This window comes from Homo sapiens, chromosome 8 (assembly GCF_000001405.40).
Source record: "Homo sapiens chromosome 8, GRCh38.p14 Primary Assembly".
Classification (NCBI taxonomy): Eukaryota; Metazoa; Chordata; class Mammalia; order Primates; family Hominidae; genus Homo; species Homo sapiens.
The window spans coordinates 2,899,372-2,924,218 of NC_000008.11; the positions used below are offsets into that span (position 1 = coordinate 2,899,372).

At 39.6% G+C, this 24,847-nt stretch overlaps 2 long non-coding RNA genes across 6 annotated transcripts in view, besides 1 other annotated feature; one reads left to right on the forward strand and one right to left on the reverse strand.

Annotated features, from left to right (window-relative positions):
* Positions 1–24,847, forward strand: part of LOC105377785 (uncharacterized) — a 297,276-nt gene that overhangs the window by 172,416 nt on the left and 100,013 nt on the right. The window contains exons 8-9 of one of the 5 annotated variants that reach the window (NR_168442.1): positions 16,964–17,198; positions 19,816–19,947. The exons of the other annotated variants lie outside the window; for them this stretch is intronic. This is a non-coding gene — a long non-coding RNA (uncharacterized LOC105377785). The remainder of the gene's footprint in view (positions 1–16,963; positions 17,199–19,815; positions 19,948–24,847) is intronic. 5 annotated transcript variants of the gene reach the window in all.
* LOC124901871 (uncharacterized) lies at positions 1,591–24,265 on the reverse strand. Its single transcript, XR_007060785.1, has 3 exons — positions 24,191–24,265; positions 16,950–17,081; positions 1,591–1,672 (listed from the first exon to the last, which is right to left on the reverse strand). It is a non-coding gene; the product is annotated as an uncharacterized LOC124901871 (long non-coding RNA).
* Positions 15,256–15,550: a silencer, noted in NCBI's record as "tiled region #9194; HepG2 Repressive non-DNase unmatched - State 24:Quies, and K562 Repressive non-DNase unmatched - State 24:Quies". NCBI's record gives its function as "represses a minimal TATA promoter and a strong SV40 promoter by Sharpr-MPRA in HepG2 and K562 cells {active_cell/tissue: HepG2 | K562}" and the evidence as "EXISTENCE:reporter gene assay evidence [ECO:0000049][PMID:27701403]".

A 24,847-nucleotide genomic window follows, 5' to 3' on the forward strand; every position in this document is an offset into this window, starting at 1 on the left:
GTTTGGCAAGGCCTGTAATCGCAGCGCTTTGGGAGGCTTAGGCAGGAGGATAGTTTGATAGCAGCATTTCAAGACCAGCCTGGGCACTATGTGAGACCCTGTCTCTACAAAAACTTAAAATAAGATGTTCAATTTCTGTGCGTGGTGGTGGATCCCTGTAGTCCCAACTACTTAGGAGTCTGAGGTGGGAGGATCCCTTGATCACAGCAGTTCAAGGCTACAGTGAAACATGATGCTGCACTGCACTCCAGTCTGAGACTGACAGACTGAGATCCTGTTTCAAAAGAAAAACAGGAAGTGGGGTGCTACTGTAACAAACACCTACAAATGTGGAAATGGCTTTGGAATTAGGTAATGAATGAAGGCTGGAATGAGTGATCAAGCCATGAATGGACATGGAAGAAACCTAAATGCATATTCCTAAGTGAAAGAAGCCAATTTGGAAAGCCTACATACTTTACGATTTCAACTACATGACGTTCCAGACAAGGAAAAACTATCAAAACAGAAAAAGGAGTGGATGCAAAGGAGTTTAGGGAAAGGGAGGGATGACTAGTCGGAGCACAGAGGATATTTAGGGCAGTGAAACTTTTCTGTATGATGCTATAATGATGGATCGATGTCATTATACAATTGTCCAAACCCACAGAATGCACAACACCAAGAGTGAGCCCTCATGTGATCTATGGACTTTGCTGACAACGATGTGTCAATGGAGGTTCACTGATTCGAACAAATGCACCCCTCTGCTGAGGAATGTTGATAATGGGTGTGCATCAGTGGGGCTGTGCATGAGTGGGGCAGGGAGTAGATGGGAATTCTTTGTGCCTTTTGATCAGTTTGACTGGAAATCTAAAGCTGCTCTTTAGAAAATTACATCTTAAAAATTTAAACAAGTATAAAAATTTTAGTGTGAACATCATTCTTCTAATGTGACATCTGTCACTACTGCCAGTATATTAACACACCTTGAAATAAAAAAAACTAACGTTCTGAGTGTCATATAACATCCAAGAGTTTGTAACCATTTTACCATAGAGAAGGTGACTGGGAAGGTCCTGGGTAGGTTAGGACAGAGAGTGGGGAAAGGGCAGGTACAGGTGATGAGGAACTGTTTTCAGGTTGAGCATGAAAGTACAATGAGAAATACTTAATAAAAGGTTCCCGGGGTGGACTGATAGGAAGGAAAGCAGAGTACAGAAATACTCACTCCTAGAGCTAGAAATGTCTGGCAAGGTAGCTGGGCAGATACTGGGCCTCCCAGAACATCTATGCCAAGCAGTGATCAGGGCTGCAGTTTAGGACCACAACCCAGTCTTCTGCTGCTGTTAGGTGACGATGCTGGTAAGAACAAGAGAGAATCCTAGAATTAGAGGGATTAAAGCAAAAATTGGCTGGAGAGTTATTGCCACCAGGAAAAAACGGTTGGGCTTAATTATTTGCAAAATACGTCTGAGGGAGGTGATTGATCTTAGCAATAAAGCAGAAGTCAAGTGAGGGAACCTGGGACTCACCGTCTGAGGAGGCTCCTAGCAACCACGACTTGACATTGAGTCACTTAAAAATTAGAAGAGTACTCCTTGGATGAGCAGCAGATCAGATGAAGAAGTTGGGAAGGCATGGGCTCTAAGAAAAGAGGGCTATTGGCAGATCATTACTGCGCCAAGAACATCTGTAAATTCAATCAGAAGCATACAGACAAAATCAAATCTTAAAAAAACTGATGTCTAAGTCGTACTCCAGCACGTATATTGGATGACATTATGTGAAAGTCACAGGACTTTCCCGTGTTTCCACTTTATGTTAATGCAATATTGCAAAGCCAACATGCCCATTTTTACCCCTAGTGTATAGAGCACCGTTTGTTTGAGAACAAACAGAATACCAGAGCTCTACAGCAGCTTCAGAACAGCAGGGATTAATAAATGGATGGATGCCAATCAAAGAAACCTCAGCCTGTAGCTGAGCTATCTGAGAAATGTCCCAATTTTGTAATTGCTTTGCAGTTCTGTGATAGAGTAAATTGTGTTTTCACTTCTGGATTTATAAGTACCATTCTATCTTGTTAACTAAAACTAAATTACCAATGCATGCCAAGAAAACAAAAAAACAAAAAAACAACTACAGACTGTCCCCTTTTTTGCTCTTGGAAATACTTGGCACCTAAGAATTTATTCCAGGAAAGTATTTCTACTATTTGGAACCCTAAAACAGAAATATAATGTGATTTAAAAGTATTTAGACTCTGCGTTTCTAACAAGATGAATTCATATATTAGAAAGAACTTTGATGCCTGTGCTTATGGCTTTGCGCACATACATTTCAAAATCTAACCAAGAAATACTAGCACCTCAAAGTAAATACAGCAAAGTGTCAAGTTTGTAATGTGGAGAAATAAAAGTGGCACTGTTCTCTGGAAATTTCTAATATAGCCTTCTTTAATTTTATAATTTTCAAATGTATTTTTCTTTGATTCTTTTGTTCTATGACAATAGTAAAGCTGGATTTTTATCGCTGATGTGTTTTCTGACCCACAGTTCAACTTGAACTAAATAATGAACTAAGGAGAGTATGTATTTGGGACACTTCAATTCTACACACTATTTCATTTCTAGGAAGTCATTACCATATCATCATTGTAATAGTCATCATAAGCACCATCATCACAATCCACAAACACTACAACAACGTTTATCAAGTGCCTTATTAAATCTTAAATTTTATTATTAACGTGCATTGCCAGTTAATGTAGACTAACATGAATTGTTCATTTAATAAAAATAAGATGATGGCCTACTACTTTCATTACATTTTAGGTTCGGCACCTGAAGCCTAAAGTGTTTCAGCGACTGGTATGATGTCACATACATAATAAGAAGTAGAACACGTCCCGTACGTTAAGCTTCCATGAGGACGGCAGGCGCCGAATGTGGACTTTGCCAAATCTTAGAGTCCTAGAGCATGTCCATTTTGATAGTTAATCGTAACAAAAGAGGTACATCTTGAAGCTTAGGGAACCTGAGCATAAGTCTCCATTAAACTGGAATTTAAAAGGACTTTACATTCACTCTAAGGGTAAACTAGAAATAAATTCTACCAGGCAGATGCAGAACAGAAACTTCACCTGTTCCAAGGATACATAATGAATGGAGAAAAAATCTCTGAACATAAGACTGCCCCCACGTAATTACTCCATCTGAATTCACAGGATTCACTCTACCTGTTGGGTCTGAAGTACCTCAAACGGAGTGGGGAGTTTAAATGGCCTTGCTGATAGTGACTCAGGTAACTGGAACAAGAAAAATAAATTCTTTCTAGGAAAACTTAACTTCGGCCTGAGCCTGAAAGTATTCTTACAGATTAAGGTCTGGAAAAAAGTGAGCAGCATGCAATAGAAATCCACAAAATGCAAGTCAGCAAAACACTGATTGAGAATCAGCAGGAAATTAAGCACACACAGATACACACACACACACACACACACACACACACACACACACACACACACCCCAGAAGTAGACCAAGAAATTAAGGCTGGAAAGAAATCTATAAAGACTGGCATAGTATAATTGACAAATAACTAGAGCTTATCAGAATACAACGAATAATGCTTAAAAATATATTCAATGAATGGATACAATAACCGACGGGAAATAGTTTTAAATACTACTGAACTGGAAGGCAGGACTAAAAAAGAGATCTCAAATTTATTCTTGAGGTATAGTTCTGAATAACTTACTTATAGATTACATATGCACTATTAAATAGCTCATAATGGAGAATAATAGCCAAAAATCACAAAGAAAATGAGAAAATATCCTAACTGAATGATAATAAAAATAATACATATCAAAACATATGACATACAGTTTAAGTGAGATAATTCTTAGAAAACATTTTCTAAGCCTTAATTACTTACATTAGAAGGAACAAGTGCTGTGGTAACATAAGAATCTGACTTGAAATTTTAGAAAGAAAACCAGCAAAATGAATGCAAAGATATTATGAGGAACTTAATAATGGAGATAAGTATAGAATAAATAGAATAGAAAATATAAAATATAGAAGATCAATAAAGCCAAAACTTTAAGATGATCTCGTATATAAACGCAATTTTAACAAGCTTAAAGAAAAGGAGAAATAATATTAGGAATAAAATAGAATATACAAAATTCTACCTAAAAGTCTACAAAAACATAATTTGCTAATATGGACTGAAGAATGAGAACATATAAATCATTTTAAAACCCTAAAAGAAATGAGACGTTATAAACTTTCCCAGAAAGAAAATACCAGCTCAAAGCTTTTATATGTTACTAATACCTCATTGTCGAGGAGCTGATCATATGAGTATTAATAAAATCTAACAGATAATAAAAAGAGGAAACGGAAGTCTAATCATTTAATGAGGCTACCAAAAGCTTCATATCAAATTAGAGTTGTACCTAAAAATAGAGATGATAGACTGTTTTCATTGTGAACATTAGTACAAAAATGTTAAATAATGTATTAGTAAGATTAACCTAGCAGTAGATAAAAATAATAACAGATCATGAATAAATTGGATTTAGATTAGAAATGTGAGTTAATATAATATTAAAACAGTTAATTTAATTCATTATGTTAATCATATTATTTATTTATTTATTTTAGGGATGGGGACCTGCTCTTTTGCCCAGGCTTTTGTGATCACAGCTTACTGCAGCCTCAAACTCCTGGGCTCACTCAATCTCTCACATTGACCTTCCAAAGTGAGGGGAGTAAAGGAGTAAGCCACTGCTCCTGGACCCATTTTATTAATTTTAAATGAAAAAAATCATATGTATATCTTGATAAATCTATATAAGATGTTTGATGAAAATCAGTACCATTTATGAATAAAAAGTAGAACCAAGCCTCTTGAAAAAATATGTTATATGACTTGTTTATCTAATGAAGAATAAACATGAAAAAATCTAGTAATCATGATAATTATTGCTGAAATATTGAACAGGAATAAGATAAAGATACCCTATATTACAATGTATATTTTATATTGTACTAAAATTTCTGGCCATTGTGGTAAAACATAAGGAAAAAGATATGGTTATTGTAAAGATAGAAGGCATTATTTGAAAAAATACACTTTTTCCCATGGAAATCCCCAAGTAATTTACATATATTTTAAATTATTGAAGAAGTTTAGGAAATTTCAATACTTTTTAGACAAAGGGCCAATTTCTTTTATGTATATAATAAACTATCAGCAAGAACATCTAATTTAGAAAATTATGCCATTTACAATAATATTTTTAAAGCTTCAAGTAATAATTTTGACTTTTGGTTGACAGCCAAATAAATCAGGAAACCAACAATAGTGAATCTACTGTCTGGATTCTCCTATTCAAGATTGCCAATTCCAGATGAGTTAGCTGAGAAACTGACTCCAAACTTTGGAGAGCTTCATCGAACTGAGGTACCAATATTGAAGTACTTGGGTTGCTAGGAAGCAGTAACTCCTGATGGATCAGGACAAGATGCCAAAGGGCTGGACCCTATGAGTAGGTAACCCATAAGTAGACTGGCCTCAAAGTAAGAAGACTAGCTACAATAAACTTAATCCCTGAAATTGGATTGAGGTGATCTGGATTATTGGTGCTGCTGTTCATCTGTGAGAAGCAAATGTAAATTGTCTCTAAGTGGAGATATGTCAGCTGAAGTAATAAAGTTTTTTCATATACAATGATCAGCAGGCATGCAAAATAACCAGGAAATTACAAAACAAAAGCCCACATGATTTACAACAAAGTTTTAAAATGCAATGGAGACTTTCAGATTTATTTTTGACATAGAAAGGGCCTAGGAGTCACCATGCTCATCCTTAACACAAGAAGAAGCAGAACAAACTGAGAACCAATGGATTATCTTAGCCCCAACAGAGAATTTAGATTAAAGGGGGAACCACTACCCTGAAGTCTGGAGTGACAGGAGAATGCAAAGAATCACAGCAGAGATCAATTTCCTGGAGCACAGGTCAATGGAGCCATCAATGGCTAGGAGGACATATAGTAACTTGGATGTATTACTGGAGGCCGAGTGGACTAGTGCAACGGTGATAAATTCATGGGGCATCAGTCTTAGGGGCACCGCATATAAATGGGTTTTAACTCCAGGAACACAGCTCAGCTCTCACAGTGAAGAGCCAAGAAAACACAACACAACAAAACATATATTTAGTATTCTTAAAAAGTCAAAAGTTCAGAGTTCGGTCAATAGATTTAATGTAGTCCCTACCCTGTCAAAATTTCAACAATGTTTTTTGTTTGTTTCATCGTTTTTGTGGAGATGGACAAGCTAATCTTAAAATTCGTATGGAAATGCAAGGGAACCTGAGTGGCAACATCTATCTATAGAAAAGAATAAGGCTGGAGAACTCACACTTCCTAGTTTCAAAACTAACAACAAAGCTACAATGATCAAAATCGTTGTGACCCCAGATTAGGAAATAGTTTCTTAAATATGACACCAAAAGCAGGAAGAAGAAAAAAATAGATAAATTATATTTCCTTAAAATTAAAAACTTCTGGTACAGGAAGACATAGTGATAAGTCAGCGATAATAGTGATAAGAAACCAATACCAAAACCCAGAGAATTAAAGGAAATATTTGCAAACCATCCACCTGATAAGTCTTGTATTCAGAATATTAAAACGATTCTTACAAGTCAGCAACAGAACCAACAACAAGCAACCCAATTAGAAACAGAGCAAAGAATCTGAACAGGTATTTTTCCAAAGAAAATATGCAAATGCAATTAAAACCAACACTAAAACACCATTCAGTCATTAGGGTGGCTACAACAACAGCAAAGACAGATTAAAAAAAGGCATGGACAAAATATGAGGACATCGGCAAGTCCACACGTTCTGCAGGAACGCAAAGCAGTGGAGCCATGAGGAGAACAGTGTGGCAGTTTCTCAAAAAGTTAATCACTGATTTACTATAAAACTAGCAACAGCATTCCTAGACATACACCACAAAGAATTGAAAACGTATGTTTGCACGAAAGGAGAACATGTAAGTTTATAGAAAAATTATTTATAATACCCCAGAGTGGAAACAACCCAAATGCCCTTCAGCAGGTGGTTGAAGAAGCAAATGCTGTATGCACATACAATAAAATATGAAGTCATAGAAAGAATGAAATACTCCTACACGCTACTGTATGGATAAAGCCGGAACATATTTTGCAAAGTGAAAGAAATCATATACAAACGATCACATAATGTATGATTCCATTTGTATGAAATGTCCCAAATAGGCAAATCCAAAGAGACAAATTAGATTGGTGGTTTCCACAGGCTGGGGAAGTAAGGGAGAGATCGGGAGATATGGGATTTCTTTATGAGCTGATGAACACCTTCTGGAATTAGATAGTTGCTATGAAGTCACAAAATTGTGAATATTCAAAAAAAAACCCACTGAATTTTATATCAGTAAAATTATATGAATTTATGTGAATTTTGCATTAATAAAAGCTGATTAAAAATAAATACAATAAAAAATTGTATATTTTATATACTGTAAAATCTTATCTCATATTAATATAAATTAAATAAAAAGCATTCTCACAAGACAGAGAAATATTTCATACTGATAAAAGGTTCAATTCACCAGGAATATGTAATTGTTCTACAACTCTAATTCACTTACTAACATAGCTTTAAAATTATATAAGATAAAAATGTACTGAACCACAAAAGACAAAAACACAAATTCATAATGTAGCAAGGTTTTAACACATGGTGCTCATAAATGAGAAGAAAAAAGATATTTAAATTCAGTAAAGATATAGGAGTTTTGGAAACAGAATGAACTATTTTGAATTAAATGACATATGTAGATGTTTTATACTCCTAGGGGAGTGCAGACGCTTTTAAGCACACTCAGGAATTTACCAAAAAATGGCCATGTTCTTGGCCACAAGTGAGTCCCAACACATTTCAAATAATTGAAATCATACAGAATAGGTTATCTGACTATAGCACAATTAACCCAGAAAATTTTTAAAAATCTATATATTTAGAAATTGAGGGATAGATTGTATAAGTCTAAAAGTCCAATGAATTTAAAATAAACATTAGAAAATATTTTAAAGTATACGATAATAAAAATAGTCTTTATTGAAATATATGGGTGCAGAACATAATAATGTTTAGAAGAAGTTGTAACATCTGGAATGTACATTTTTTTAAAGTGAAATTAAAATTAAATGAGGTTGTCTTTCATCTCCAAAAGTCAAGAAAAACAGTAACTTCAAAGAAAGCTGAAGAGAAAAAAAGCATAAAGATAAGACCAAAAATCAATGAAATATAAAACAAAAGACAAAGAAGGTTAACAGTCAAATGTTCATTTTTTGAAAGGATTATTAAATCTGAACCTGTAGGAATATTTATATAAAAAAAGAGAAAGTAAGGGCACAACTAACAATCAAGAATTGGCAAAGATGACATCAGTGTAAATCCTGCATACATTCAATAATTCATCAAATTTATTGTGAAAGATTTTCTGCCAGTAAGTTTGAAAATTTAGAGGAAATTTTTAAAAATTCCCAAACAAGAATAAAGGCAACTTACTGAAGCTTCAAAAGTGCTAAAAGTAAACCTCACGATTAGAAACTCTTCCTCTCCTCCAACACACACACACACACACACACACACACACACACTCAAAAATGTATTATCCTTCATGGTTTCGTCAGTGAGAAAGAAACAGACAGTAAACATTTAAAGAGATAACTAATAGCATTAGCAATCTGGGGAATGCAGACTGTAACCACTGTAAGGAAGCGTTACTTACATAACAGAAAGACTTAAATGAAATGTATCACTTTTAAACATTGACAATACAAAGTATTGGCAAAGATATTAAATACTGAGAACACTTACACACTGCTGGTGAAAGTACTGAAGGTATAATCTCTTTAGAAAACACCTTAAAATTATCTATTAAAGCCCAACATACGCATGTCCTTGGTCCTGAAATTTTTAATCTTGAGTCTATGTCCAATAGACCTTCCAATTTATGTTTACACAATACATACATAGATATAAATTATACTGTATGACACAGTGTGATATGCCACAGTAACACATACAAACTACCTATAGCTAAATGTGAATAAAGGGCTGAATTTCACAAATATACATGGCTGATCTTTAAAACCCCTGAATTTAAAAATACTTGTAATATAATTGTAAAGTTTGATAAAAGGCAAACTAATTGAGTTTAAAGGCCTGGAAGATGGTTACATCTAGACAGGTGGGAAGTTTAGTTATATCTGCAGGGGTTGGAGGTGGTTCCGTGATGGTGGAAATGTTCTGTTTATAGCCTAAGAGGTGGTTGAATAGGATGTGCTTTTGGCCAATTTATTATATTTCCAGTTCTGTTTTTTTTTCTAGTTCGCAGTAAAAAGATTAGATCACTGGTGAATATTTTCACAAAAACAGTCAAGGGGTTTAAGAAAAGCATAGATGCACAAGAACAAAAGAAAAGGAAATAAGGTGATATTAGATCAATCAATCAGTCTTGTGATCTAACCTCTCCATTCACTACAGCACAAGTTTAGAAGCAGGAAACCATCTGAATGACCAGCAAATCACCTCACATATAAGTTTAACCTTAATTTCCAGTGGGAACTCTAGGAAGAGACCCCCAGTTCACTGCAAACCCCTGCTGCCTTCCCCCATCCTAGACAATAACCAGAAATGCAGTATTCAGGTACTCAGAAGCAATATGACTGGGTATCAGGAGGCAGTTTAAGGATGAGAACCTGCCGGATTGAAATAGGGATATTTAGCACAAGTTCAAGTAATGAATGCTGAGAACATCAGCCATCTCCCTAATGACTCCTGTATACTGGTAACAAAGATTCCTCAAAGCAGGTGATTGGTAATGCTTTCCTGGGCGAATCAAATCTGTTTGAATAGACAGGTTAGATCACAAGATTGATTGATTAATTGACATATAGACAGATTAGGTGGATGATAAATAGATTAGATGGATGAATGGGTAAATAGTTGGATGGATAAAATGATAGATAGATGATAGGTAGATTAGGCAATATGGATGGATGGATGGATGGATGGATGGATGGATGGATGGATGGACGAATAGTTAAATGGATGAATGGATACTTGAAGAGGCTGACATTAGGGATTGATCACTAAACAATTTAGTCACATCAATCTATAGTGAAACATATATTCTATGAACCTCAATGAAGAAAAAAAGAATTCTCAATCATCTTTTGATGTCCCATTCTAAAATATGAATGGAGAGAGAAAGTTCCTCACACACTTTGAAAAAGGCTTTGATATGAAATTAGAGGCTAATAAATGGGAAAACAATGAAGATAGAGGAATTAGAGACTGTGCAGGGGAATGAAAACAGAAAACAAAACAAGAATATCACTGGTATATTCAGAGAAGTCAAAGAATGTACAAAACAGGACGATATACGTGCACACATGGACTCTCCTCTCTCTCTCTCTCTCTCTCTCTCTCTCACACACACACACACACACACACACACACACCCCTTAGAAGAAACCATTAGAAAAGGAAAAAGAACTCAGCTGAAGGTTTTTGGATATAAAGTGAATTCTATTTCCTAGAAAGTAGACAAAAGAGACAGAAAAATTGAAAATATGGAAAAAGAATACATTCAGTAGAATAGTTCAAGTTCTAATATTTGAAAAGTTCAAGACAGAACAGAGAAAAACAGAAGTGAGTGTGTTACTGATACAAAAGGCCCACTAAGAACCCACAACAGTGTGAAAATAGACTCACACCAAAGGCTGTCATCATGAAATTCCAAAATACTGGAAAAAAGATAAGACCTGAGCTTATCAACAGAAGTAAACATGCTGTATTCTTAGACCTCAGAATAGCATTAGATTGTCAATAATGTCAGTGAAAGCTAGAAGATGGAGCATGGTCTTCACAGCTTAAAGAAAGATATTTCTAAATTAGTATCTATCCCAAAGCCATCAATTATGCATGATGATACATTAAAGACAATTTTGGATAAGCAAGGCCTCAAAAATGTAACCCCTAAATGCTCACACACAGGATGCTGTGGGAGGTGTGAGTGACCCACACAGGAGACTAAATCTAAAGTGGTGTGGAGGTAAACTGAGGGAGGCTAGGAACACAGTGCAGGAAATAGAGATAGCAGCCTTGGAGTGCCAGGGACGAGAGGCCAGGATTGCATCTGTAAAACAGGCCTGGAAGGAGATCTTGCAAATGGGAACAGGTCAAAAACCTCTAGGGAAGATTTATTATGCAAAGGGAAGTTGGTAGAACACCAAATTGATAGAAAATTCATACTGTGCCGTAAATAAAGAAACTAAGTATATGGGGCAGTAGAAGAAATTAGATTGTTAGCAGCAGTAGGGTTGTTCAGGGAATGAAAATTATTCCTGGGGTGTATATGGCTCAGCGATGAGACTATTTGCAGTCACATAATAACAAGAGGGTTAGTATCATCCTAAGCAAAATGATGATATAAAAGCAAAGCAAGAAGGAGAAATGGAAGGATTATGGGGAGAGGAAGGAGTGAAAGCAAGGCAAATTGCCCCTTTCCATAACTGAAATGCAATATATATTGCTGCAAACTGGAAATTAATAAATAGTGATCAGAGGATATTATTTACAATCATAGAGGTAAATTCTAAAAAATAATTAATTAAAAGAATTGAACATGCGAGCCTGTGGGACGGAGTATGGGCAACTGAGATACCTTGTAAAACCCATGGACTCTTTAAATTATAGGCAAGTATAACTCTACGATAAATGAAAGCCAAATTAAAAATAAAACAGTAAGGGAAGAATATAAAAATACTGTAATGGCTATAAAGAGTTTGTATATTTCCTACAACTCAAATCTACTTCCAATTGAGCATAGCTTTATGTGGATATTTACAAAAGAAACAAAACAAACTCTGCCAAGATTTTTAATGTTTTCTAAAATGCAGTCAGGGCATCTGAAAACACAGAATCTTGAAGGCAGACTACATAGAGTAAATACATGTTTAATTAATAAGTTACTAAGATTGAATGACAAGCATAGATCTGAATCTTAGGGTACAATTAATGTGATGATTCTGAGATCCTGCTAATTTTTAGGAGTAAAATGCACACAATATATGGAATAGACTTCTTTATTTGCTGTACAGCATAACAAAGCCACATAATAATTACAATTTGTTTCTACTGAATGATAGAGCCATTTGGACACCCTTAATGTCATCAATTAGAGTTTAATGCATAATTAAATTTTACAGCTAATAAGCGCACAATGAAATAAAAAGGCCAATTGATGGATAATGGAAATTCTCCACTTGAATAGCAAAATATCATTTGGAAGGCAATGACTTCTATGCAACGTCATTTAAGCCACTAAGCTAGAGTCATGAGTCAGATTTTCATTTCAGGTCTAGAAATTTTCATTTATTTCTAATTAGCTAACTAGATTGTAGCTTTGCAGGAAAATAAGCGGAGGTGATTTGTTTATACACTGAGGATCCTCAATCGTCGGTTAACATGTAAGGAGCTTAAATACTTTACAACACATCATAAATGCTCCATAAATATTATGTGTAGTAATCCCTATTCCAAATCTAAAGGCACGTCACTATTTATTTTGCAGAAAGTTTACACCAATGGACTTTATGCTCTATATAGTCACATGCAGTAGTGAGTGGCATTTCTTTTTCTTTATTTTTACACATATTTCTCTTTAATGAAATGAATATTATTTTATTCTTTACTCCTAAAATATTTACAATAATTAGATTTCAAGACGCAAAGCAGCTCCCTGCCTGTATCACATTTGAGCACGCGTCACTGTTTTCCCTTTCTGGTAGCCATCCAAGGACATCAGCTTTATGGCTAGCAGGAATAGTAGAACATCCTCTTCTTTCTGCAATACCAGCAGTTAGAGGGTTTAGCTTCCTGTTCTGTTCATTATCTTTCTATTTGACTGTACTACGTCCATGCAACAGCTCCCCTGTTCTAGGGTCCCTAGCATACTTTTAACTTATTATATATAATATTTACTACTTTTCAGTGGAATCAAACTGTAAAAAATAAGACAGCTGACTTTAATATATGACTTTGAATAAGTAATATAAGGGTCAAGAGATACAAAGAACAAACAACGGAAGACACAGGATTTCATAGATTCTCCAATGTGCTTTTTTTACACTTTCACATGGCAGCAGTTGAACTATGGGGGATATGTCTTACAATCCAAGATGTATGACATTGGAATTAGCACTGTTCTTTTTAATGTCTTTCTGTAACGGCATATAAAATAATGGCACGTCTTAAAATTGATGTTGACTCAGATTCACCGAGATAAGTAAAGATGCCAGCATCATGTGGCTGAGGATGCTTCCCAGCTCACCCTTGTGTTTACTTGGATTCACCGAGATAAGTAAAGATGCCAGCATCATGTGGCTGAGGATGCTTCCCAGCTCACCCTTGCGTTTACTCCACATCCTCTTAGAGACGTGCAATGCAGTTTCTTGTATATGCTGCTAAATCAGAATTCTATTTTACAGGAATGTAAGAGTCCTTTCTGTTGCTTTCTCAGCTTTACAGAAGTAGACTGACAAAAATTGTGTAACTATATATTTATTTAGTATACATAATAATATAAAATATATATGTATAGTCTACAACCTGATTTTTATGTCCATATACACTATAACTGGTGACCACAGTGGAGCTAATTAACAAATCTATCACTTCACATAGTTCCTTTCTTTTGTGTGTGTGCTGAGAACACAACATCTCCTTCCTTAGCAAGTTCTGAGGATTCCGGATGGAGTCATCGATGTCTTCCATTTTTCATTCACATTATACATCTCAAATGTCTTTCATGCCAGTTCAGAGAGAACTTCTATAATATTTTGATGCCTGTTTTGCCTTAAATTCTGTGCCCATACCATAATTTATTTCATCCGTTCCCTATTGAAGACATGCAGCTATTTCTAAAGTGTTGTTATTAAATCTAACAAATGTTATAATTTTTTTTTTTGAGACCGAGTGTCCCTCCTGTCACCCAGGCTGGAGTGCAGTGGCACAATCTCAGCTCACTGCAACCTCTGTCTCCTGGGTTCAAGCAGTTCTCCTGCCTCAGCTTCCTGAGTAGCTGAGATTACAGGCAGGTGCCACCACACCCGGCTAATTTTTTTTTTTATTTTTAGTAGAGACGGGGTTTCAGCCTGTTGGTCAGTCTGGTCTCGAACTCCTGACCTCATGATCCACCCGCCTCAAATGTTATAAATTTTAAATAAGATATTGACCCATGCGCAATCACAGTTGTAGGTGAAAAGTATATTACTTAATGGGTGGAAGCATTTTTAGTTTTAAGAAAATTTCGCATTGAAATTGTACCAATTTGCAATCTCACTAGCTGTGTCTAAGAGTATATTTTGTGTTCATACTTTTAAGACGGAAGTTATGTATCATACTTTTAGTTCTCAATTCAAAGACAAAACATCATCAATCATGGCACTGTACTTTTTTGGATTTTCTTTTTTTTTGGGGGGGGCGGGTGGAGTCTCACTCTGTCTCCCAGGCTGGTGATATCTTGGCTCACTGCAACCTCTGCCTCCCAGTTTCAAGCAATTCTCCTGCCTCAGCCTCCCAAGTAGCTGGGATTACAGGTGTGAGCCACCACACCCAGCTAATTTTTGTATTTTTCATAAAAATAGGGTTTCCCATGTTGGCCAGGCTGGTCTCGAACTTCTGGCTTCAAGTGATCCACCCACCTCGTCCTCCCAAAGTGCTGGGATTACAGGTATGAGCCACTGCACCTGGCCTGTATTTTCTTAAGCATGACAGGGATTAAGCCTTTTTACATATGTGAGCCAACGGGTGTTTGTTTGTTTGTTTCCTTAAGAAAATCTGTTAGTATGCTTTAAATGTGGTATTGATTGCAATATGCATAGAGAGAAAATTATGTCACAGGTTTACAACCTGAAGCATTCTCATAAACGAAACAGGCCTGCATCTTCAGCCCCCAGGCAGAAGGGATGTTTGCACCATCCCACAGAAACCTTCTCTCTTGCTCCTTGTGAGCCTGTAGCCCCCAACGGCACACACACACACACACACACACAGACACACACACACAACAAAGGGCGTCGATGTCTCTCCTTCCACCCGCTGTCCTCCAAGGCGACTGCACGCAGATGCTGCAGGCATTGTTAAGGCTCCTCCTGCACAGAACTGCTGTACCTCCTGATCTCCCTCCTGTGGCTGTGTCCACCACTGTGGAGGGCCGTGCCAGGCAGGGAATTCAGCCAGGCGACCAAGCAAGTGACGGGGCACTGTGTCCACCCAGCAAAGGCATGTAGGTGACTGAGCTGGCATTGGCCTCAAATCGCGCACCCCCTGTGGTCTGGCCTGCTCCCAGCCGGGGCATCAGCCAGGCTGGCTAACGGTTGCTGCCAGGTGGAAAATGAAAATGCAGGAATGGTCAGAGTGAAATCCACAAATTTAAAAATAGGTCTCTAGAGCCCCCTCTTGTCCTGATTGCTACTCAGGAAGCGGCTGAGAGGAGATGACACCTTCCTGGAAACAGTTTCATGTAGGGACCAAAACTCCCTCCTGAGATGTGGGGACCAGGATGTGAAGGCGGTAGACATGGATGTGAATTTAAGCTTGTGTGTAGGAGGCCTTGGATTCAAATTCTGATCTCTCCTGGAAACACCCACACAGACACACCCAGAAATGAAGTGTGATCAGCTGTCTGGGTATCCCTTAGACCATCAAGGTGACACACAGTATGCACCACTGCAGATGCAGAAACAAAAACGGTGGTTGAATTGGCCCTAAAAGCCCCACTAGTAGGTCATGTTAGTGTCTGTTTCCCATTGCAAACGCAGCTTAAAAACTCTCTGTTAACTCCAGGCGCCTCCTCCCATCGTGGAATGAGTAGGATGGTGACTTCAGTGCCTGTGCACAACAGAGCTATAAAAGTCTGTGTGTCCGGGTGTGGTGGCTCACGCCTGTAATCGCAGCACTTTGGGAGGCTGAGGTGGGTGGATCACGAGGTCAGGAGTTTGAGACCAGTCTGGCTAACACGGTGAAACCCCGTCTCTACTAAAAATACAAAAATTAGCCGGGCGTGGTAGTGTGCATATGTAATCCCAGCTACTCTGGGGGCTGAGGCAGGAGAATTGTGTGAACCGGGAGGTGGAGGTTGCAGTGAGCCGAGATCTCACCATTGCACTCCAGCCTGGGTGACCAGAGTCAGACTCTGTCTCAAAAAAAAAAAAAAAAAAAAAGGTTTGTGTCCATCTCTCTCTGGACTCCCCCAGCACCCTTGGTTGGGTGCATAGGGGCTTCACACCCCTCGCCAGTCATCTTCCTCCACGGCACAGCTGAGGTCAGGGTAGGAGGAGAGAGAAGAAGGCACGTGGAGGGAGGGGAAGGCTGCATTGTGCATCAGTAAGCAGGCTCAGTGACCTTCAGTTTCATCTGAGGGCTGCTTGTTTCTCAAACAAACAAACCTCGAATGTTTCTGATGCAACCAGAGTTCTGTATTTTTCTGGCAGACATCATCTGCCTCAGACCTAGGGACTTCTGGGCTTCTCAGCCATAGCTACACTTGCCTTTTGGCTGGGGCTGTGAGGCTCATTGCATCAATGTTGTGATCACATTTATTTCTTCTCTCGCTAGGGGAGACTGAACAGCAATCAAAGCACCGTAAGGGAAACCTGTTTCAATCCTACCTCCTGCTGCTCAGCCTCTAAACATTCAGGGCCAGACAGGCAAGACTCTGTGGGAGCCTCACCCTCCCAGCCCCAGCACTCATTCCCCGGGCTAGAGCATTTACTGTTGAATCTCAGCAAGTCTTTTTAAATCTCTAAACATGGTCTGTGAGGTCCTCACCTTTTCTCTTCCAGAGTCACGTCTCTGTCTGCATTTCATCTTCTCTTTCCCAACAACTTTCAAGAACTGTGAAGGGTCTGATTTGACTCAACGTCCAAGCTACCATGTTGGTCTTCGAGGAGGCACAAGAGCCTTGGATCAGAGACAAAAATCTCGGTTACTCACAGCAGAGAAATCAGTATGAGCTTTCCTTGTGCCTGAGTTCCCCTTACTATCCAAATCCCAGGGGGATGATTTACACAGATCCAGGTAGGTGGAGTAACTGACTCACAGCTGAGGAACCCTTCAATGCTAGGGAAACTGATTGTGTTTTTTACATAACGTTGTGCTATAAACCTGCCTGACCTTTGCTCTGGAGGAGACTATCTCTGAGCACTTTCTGCTGTGTAACAATCTTTGAATGATTGTCTGAAACAAATGCCAATCCACGCCCCTATTGTCTAGACACGCAGCAAGACAGGAAATCATGGAGACCTGGCTCCCAGCAGCCACGTGATGCCTTCTGTCAAGAATTACAACCCTGCACTCATTGGCATCTGTTGCTTCTACATGGCTGTTTATATCCTCTATCCAGGTTTTACTATAGTTTCAACAGAGTCTGCATTTAATATCAGCGAATTTTTCATGCTCAGGACTAGAAGACCCTGAGCTAAGTTTTAATAAAATTTATTGAGCCTCTGCTACATGTCGGAGCAGAGACCAAGATACAATTAAGATAAAAGATCTCCTCATTGAGTTCTTGAGTTCTTCGCAGAAACATGCATATGCGTATATAAGCAGCATGCAATCCAAGAAGTGGTGTAAAAGAAAGTGACCCCAGTGCTAATCTATAAGAGCAGAGTTAAATCTAGACAGGATTTGTCAAGGAGTAAATCCTAGAGAAGGGATTACTTGAGCTGAGTCCTGAAGGCTCGGTAGCAGTTCTACAATTCTATAAGTAGGTAAAGATTATCCCAAGTAGAGGCAAGAACTAACAGGGGACTGTGAAAATATGAGAAAGAAAATCATGTTCAGGGAATAGCAGTGATGTCAGCAGGGCTGGGGCACTGTGAGTTCTTATTCATTCCCACAGTTTCAGTCATCCTTCCTGTGCTGGTTACTCCAACCTTATTTTTTCAGCCCATTCATTCATCCTGAGTTTCATATTTTAAATACCTCCTCGTAGTTTTTCATTCATAATGCCAAAAAAGGACTCAATTCCTGTTTCTCCTATCTCTGTGAATCACACTAATTTTCATGGAGTTGCTCAAGACTCCAAGTTGGAGAGCTTTTTGTCACATGTCTTTTTATTCGTTTCACAAGACTAGCCCATCAGAAAGTCACGTTGGCTGGGCCAAGTCATTCACACCTGTAATCCCAGCACTTTGGGAGGCAGAGGTGGGCAGGTCACGTAAGCCCAAGAGTTCGAGACCAGCCTGGGCAACATAGTGAGACTCGGTCTTTACAAAAATAAATAAATACAGAAATTAGCCTGGCGTATTGGCGCGTGCCCACTTGAGGAGGCTGAAGTGGGAAGATCACTAGCTCCCAGGCAGTCCAGGCCGCAGTGAGTTGTGATTGTGCCACCGCACTCCAGACAGAGCAACAAAGCAAGATTCCTGCTTTTTTGTTTTGTTTCAAAAAAGAAAGAAAAAACAAACAAAACAAAACAACAACAACAAAAAAACATGTTTATGCTGTGGCTTCTGTATCGTTGGTCTCAGTTACCATGGTCTGAATAGAATAACCTCTTGCCTCTGCTAACTGTTCCTTCGGAAACTGCTAATGTCCCCAACTAACAAATCTTTCACAGAATAGGTGAATAGATGATCATTGTATAAAAACCCACATGGATCGTTTTATTCTCCTGGTTAAAATCACCCAGCAGTTTCCTCATTCTTCAAACTTTCACTTCCCCCTCTACGGGAAGAAAGCAAAGACACAATAAGACATAGTTAATTGCAACTCCCAAAGTATTTGTGAGTGCTCATATTTTTCAAGCAAGCTCCCTTCTCAGAAGGAATGCTGATACCTTAAAAGGTGAGACATCGTGAATCACCGACTATTTGATGCCCTAGCATTGGCTGTGTCTGAAGAGGTGCCAGTGGAAACACAAGCATTTCCGACTAAGAAACTCTTGAGCTTTGCAGTTAACTGAGGGTTTACAAAATGTTTGGAAACCTTGCTCTCATTTCCTCTGTTCATGTATGTGGCAAAATCTCTCAGGCTTTTCCTTCTATTTTCCTTCAAGAAGAAACTAGCTAGAACAATTGCTGCTACATTTCTGATTGGTTTTTACTCCATTTGCATGTTTTTGTTCTTATAACAATGTTATAAATGCTGGGGCTAATTGGCGTGTCAGTAGAAAACAGGCACTTGTGATTGGAACTTAGGGTAAGTTCAACACTGATGTGTGAGCCAGAACCAAGTCAGGAGACAGCACCACACAGGAAAAAGTTTCATATAAACAATTCCTACCTATGAAGAGGATTACTTGCTAGGGAGAAAAACAAAGCAAAGCAAAACAATTCAGACAGATCCAGGAAGAGAGAACAGATCTAGGTGCTCATTAATACCTGTAAGGTTGAGGCAATACCCTCCCTGACAAATCAGAAGGAGCCACTTCCCAGGGCGGAGGCAGTGATTGCATTGGAGAGGACACAGAAAAGGTGGCTGAGGTGGCCGCTGTGCTGGGGACACCCCAGAAGCTCTCCAGGGGCCCAGGGAGGGGGGCTCCAGTTCCTGGGCACCGTGTGCACACTGCAGGCCTCTTTTAAGAGCTCAGGGGCCCACAGGGAGGGACGCCGATTCCTGAGCACCCTGTGCACGCTGCAGGCCTCTTCTAAGAAGAGCTCAGGAAGAAATCCCCTTTCTCCTTCTCCTGCAGCATCCTCCCAGGCCCCTGGGCTCACAACACTAACAGTGTGCCGGCTGGCAAGGAAGTCTCAGCGCATGCAACACCATAATCCCACAGCGGGCAACGGGAGGCAGACTGGGGGCTGAGAACAATAAATTAACAGTGAGTACTGCCGCCGTGACAAGTGCAGCTGCCTCCTGCCTTTCCTTCTTTCCTTCAGTCAAAATGAAGGCAACATTTGGATAGTGTGTGCTCATGTCTTCTGTGTTTTTTTTCTGTCATATGGGCTCCTTGACCTTGACATTGTTTTCTAAGTATTCTCTCCAAACTCATTATTATTTTGTAACTAACTTTGTTATCTCCTCACTAAATGCATCCCATTGAACAATTACATTTTAAACTCTAACAAGTGTCTCAGGGGCCCCTGTGGTCTGGACCTGCCCATCTCGCCAGCTCTTGTAGCTCCTAATTCCCTCAGCATTTGCATATTTCAGTTTTAGGCTTTCTTTTGCTTTCTTTCTTTCCTTCCTTCCTTCCTTCCTTTCTTTTTTCTTTCTTTCTCTCTCTCTCTTTCTTTCTTTTCTTTTCTGTTCTTTTCTTTGTAAGTATCAGGATGTTTCCACCTCAGAACCTTCACACCTAAGCTTCACTCCTCTAACACCCCCACTGACTCCCAGGCACTCTCCCCTTTAAACAAATAAAGAGCTGCAACAGAAAGTTTAGTGTAAGGGGAAACTGGAAACAGATAGGGTCCTTAGACATCCTTGCCCTGTGCCCACCCACCGGCCCTTCTCAGCCCCAGATCCTAGGGTGCAGGAACACACAAACCCAGGTAGGTCGCAGGACTGAAGCCTGTTGGAGCAGCACGACCCCATCATCTCAGAGCTCAAGAAGCAACAAGAGCTCATGTGCCTTCACACACAAGCTTGAGAGAGCCACACATATCATCCGAGTCTCCGAGGCTTTCTGACTTCCTTTTATCTGAGGGCATCGCAATGTCTCACATGACTAAAAACGTGAAGAAAACTTCTTAAAAGAGAGAAGGAGAATGTAACAGAAACCGATTGCCCAGAGTATCAGCCCGGGAGCCCTAGATGTTTTAGAAGAGTGTCGTCTGCTGACGCCTCTAGTGCCTTATCAACACCTTTACCTGTGGATACAATTCAAAGGAAGCCTTGAGGAATGGTGGCTTTCCTGAAGTGTTTGTTCTGCAGCAGAACAAGAACCTTGACAAGAATGAAGTTACCTGGCTGTTTCATTCCCTGTCCACCTCAATTTTTATGAGTTCATTGCCCGCCACGGCAGAATGTGTGTCTCACTGGTTTTCTCAGGTGCAATGTGAACTTCATGCTACTTGGTTCATCTCGTCTACCTGTGTCCTTAAAAGCTAGCACCAGGCTTTATAGGAAGAATTAACATGTTTTAATGAGAGAATGAAAACAGTCTGCAAGTTGTTTTGTGGTGTGTCTCATGGAGCGTCCTTATTTATCCTCCAAGTGATTAGCGGGCATCGATTCTGAGTTAAGGACTCCATGAGGTTTTGGGCTAAAACAGTGAACAAGATACTCAAGAACTTTTTTATTATAACTTTTTTATTATCTTTTTTATTATAGAACTTCCAATCCAGCCAGAATTAAAAAGACAAAATTGGGTCGGGCGCGGTTGCTCACGTCTGTAATCCCAGCACCTTGGGAGGCCGAGGTGCGTGGATTAAGAGGTCAGGAGATCTAGACAATCCTGGCTAACATGGTGAAACCCTGTCTCTACTAAAAATACGAAAAGTTAGCTGGGCATGGTGGCACACGCCTGTAGTCCCAGCTACTCGGGAGGCTGAGGCAGGAGAATCACTTGAACCTGGCAGGCGTTCAAGGTTCAAGGTGGCAGGGTTGCAGTGAGCCAAGATCACACCACTGTACTCCAGCCTGGCCGACAGAGGAAGACTCTGTCTCAAAAAAAAAAAAAAAAAAAAAAAAAAAAAACCGACAAAATTGGAACAAAAATTTTTAGTGGTGGCTCACGCCTGTAATCCCAACACTTTGGGAGGCTGAGGTGGGAGGATCCCTTGAGACCAGGAGTTTGAAACCAGCCTGGGCAAAAAAATGAGACCATGTTGTCTCTATGAAAAATAAACATAAAAAATAACTGGGCATGGTGGCATGCACCTGTGTTCTCAGCTGCATGGGAGGCTGAGGTGGTAGGATTGCTTGAGCCCACAAAGTTGAGGATGCAGTTAGCTATGTTCTCACCACTGTACTCCAGCCTGAGCAACAGAGCCAGACCCTGTCCCAGACAAAAAGCAAAATAAAAATCTTAGTATTATGGTGCTTGCAAAGGAGAAATACAGATGGCTCAGCAGTGGAGAGTCATGGAAGGATCTTGAACTAGTGGGTGACAAACTCAGATTTTAATTACAACAAAGCTTTGATAGCTTCAGTGAGTTGGTGGATATTGAAGGGAAGAAAATAGTTCAGGAGACAAATGAGGAAACGTTTACAGTGCTTGAGCTGGGGGATAGCATAAAGTCCTGAGCTAGGATAATGGCCATGGGAATGAGGAGGGAATGGGGATAGTGATGCTGACACGGTGGCTGTCCTTGGGCAGGTGATGCAGGGCGTGAGAAAGCTGACGCAGGTGCATGCAAGTGGGTCTCAGATGCTCTGCTGGTCTTCAGCCTAGCTGGACACAGTGGTGCTCAGTACCACTGTGTAACCACTACTCAAGTGTAGGTTGACTTCTTCCATCATCCCTGCTATGGTATTAATGGGTGTGTCCCTCCAAAATTCAAATGTGGATACCTAATCCCTAAGGTGATGGCATTAGAAAGTGGAAGGTGGGGTCTCCAGGAAGCAATTAGGTCGTGAAGGTTGCACCCTCATGAATGGGATTAATTCCCCTATAAAAGAAGCTTCAGGCGGGGTGCAGTGGCTCATGCCTATAATCCCAGAACTTTGGGAGGCTGAGGAGGGTGGATCACGAGGTCAGGAGATCAAGACCATCCTGGCTAACACGGTGAAACCCTGTCTCTACTAAAAATACAACAAAATTAGCTGGGCATGGTGGCAGGAGCCTGTAGTCTCAGCTACTCGGGAGGCTGAGGCAGGAGAATGGCGTGAACCCGGGAGGCGGAGTTTGCAGTGAGCCGAGATCGCACCACTGCACTCCAGCCTGGGCAACAGAGCGAGACTCGATCTCAAAAAAAAAAAAAAAAAAAAAAAGAAGCTTCAGAGAGCTGCCTCTGATTTTCATGTACTCTGCCATGTGAGGACACAGCATTCCTTTTCTCCAGAGGATACAGCCACAAGGCACCACTGTGGAAGCAGAGAGCAGCCCTCACCAGACACCAAACCTGCCTGTGCCTTGACCTTGGACTCTCAGCCTCCAGAACTATGGAAATAAATGTCTATTATTTGCAAATTACCATTTCTGTTGCATTTTATTATAGCTGCCCCAGTGGACTAAGACGACCAGGGACCTCCAATGTGTAGGCCAACAAGCAAGAAAATATCCACCTGCACATTAGTATTTGCTTGAATGTCTTAGTCATTTCGCCTACATTTAACCATAGAGAAAGCAATACCACCCACAGTGACAGTTAAGAAGCAACAATGATGTATAGTGACATTTTATTGTCTCCGCTCTAACAAGGAGCCTTTCTTTAGTAGGAGAAAGATTGTACCACTTGGTATGGACCATTTGCTAAGCTACCCAGATAATGAAATCACTTTGTCATCTTTTGCTAGAGCTGCTCATCACGTATGTCTTTGAGCTTTTTATTTCACGATGAGGTATGAGGCTGCTGGAGGGATTCCCCTGTTTCTTATTACCCACAGCCTTTTTGTGGCCACTGTTTGACTTTAGTGGAGATTTATGATCTGGGCAATGGACGTTAAGTAATCCGCCTTCCCCAGTACAGCCTTCTATTTAGGTTGTGTTATATAAAATGGGCAAGGAATCATTCTTTGCTGTAAACATCACTTTTAGCAAAGTTGAAATTTAAGTGCCTATTGAACATTCACTCAAAATTTCTCTCTAAGACAGAAATAAATAGAGGTCTTCACTTCAGCTTTTAGTGTTCTTTCCAAGAGGAACATTTATCCTTTTCTGTCAAGGCCAGCGGACTCAGGCCACAGAAAACTTACAGAAGGAGAGACTTTTCCAAGAATCTAACACTGATTCCAATTTTTGTCAAACCACTTTTTTCACCTGATATTCTCCACAGACAATTTTCGTGTTTCTAAAAATATACGTAATAACTTGTATAATGATGATAAAGCTCTGTATTACAATTGAATAAGACAGGAAAACTATTTCAAGTTATTTGCTGTGTGTATCATTTAGGAATCTTCTAATTTCAAGTAATAGAAAATTACCACCCACAATAAGCTAGCAAGACATGGAACCTCACCATCTCATAGACAGGAGTGGTCCTGGATCCAGAACTCCAGAACTGAGACCACCATCAGCTCCCCTGCCTCTGGGCTGATCATTCTTACCCTGACTCCCTCCCACTGTGGTGAGCAGGTGGCTGTTGAGTCTCCTAGAGATATCCCTCGAGCTGCCTGTGGAGAGAAAAGAGAATATTTTGTTTTCAAACTTTACAGAAAAGGTCTAGAATTCCCCCTGTATTCATTTTGGTCACCAATCCATCCCTGAAGCAATGCCTACGGCCAAGAAGAAGGGACCACAATGCGAATGCAGGCCTGACTGAGATGCTCAGGCATTTTTCTAGGAAGGATGAGGATTTTTCTAAGGAAGGGACAAGGAGTGAATTTTCTTGGTATGTCCTTCACATCAGCAAATCTCTAATCAGATCTTCATATAGAATTTATCATTCCACAGGTGACCTGTGACCAAGATGCAACCAGGAGATTCCTGGATGATGAGGTCGAGTTGGGTCAGTCAAATTCTTTTTCTCATCGGTGCAAGATTCTAAATCAAAGCGTTGCATATGGCAAGACATTTCAACTTTTTAAATAGCAAACCAAGCAATCAAAAACTCATATCCACATTTTCAAAACAGCTTATAGCATAAAATCTATGTCATTAGTGGATTTGTGAGAGT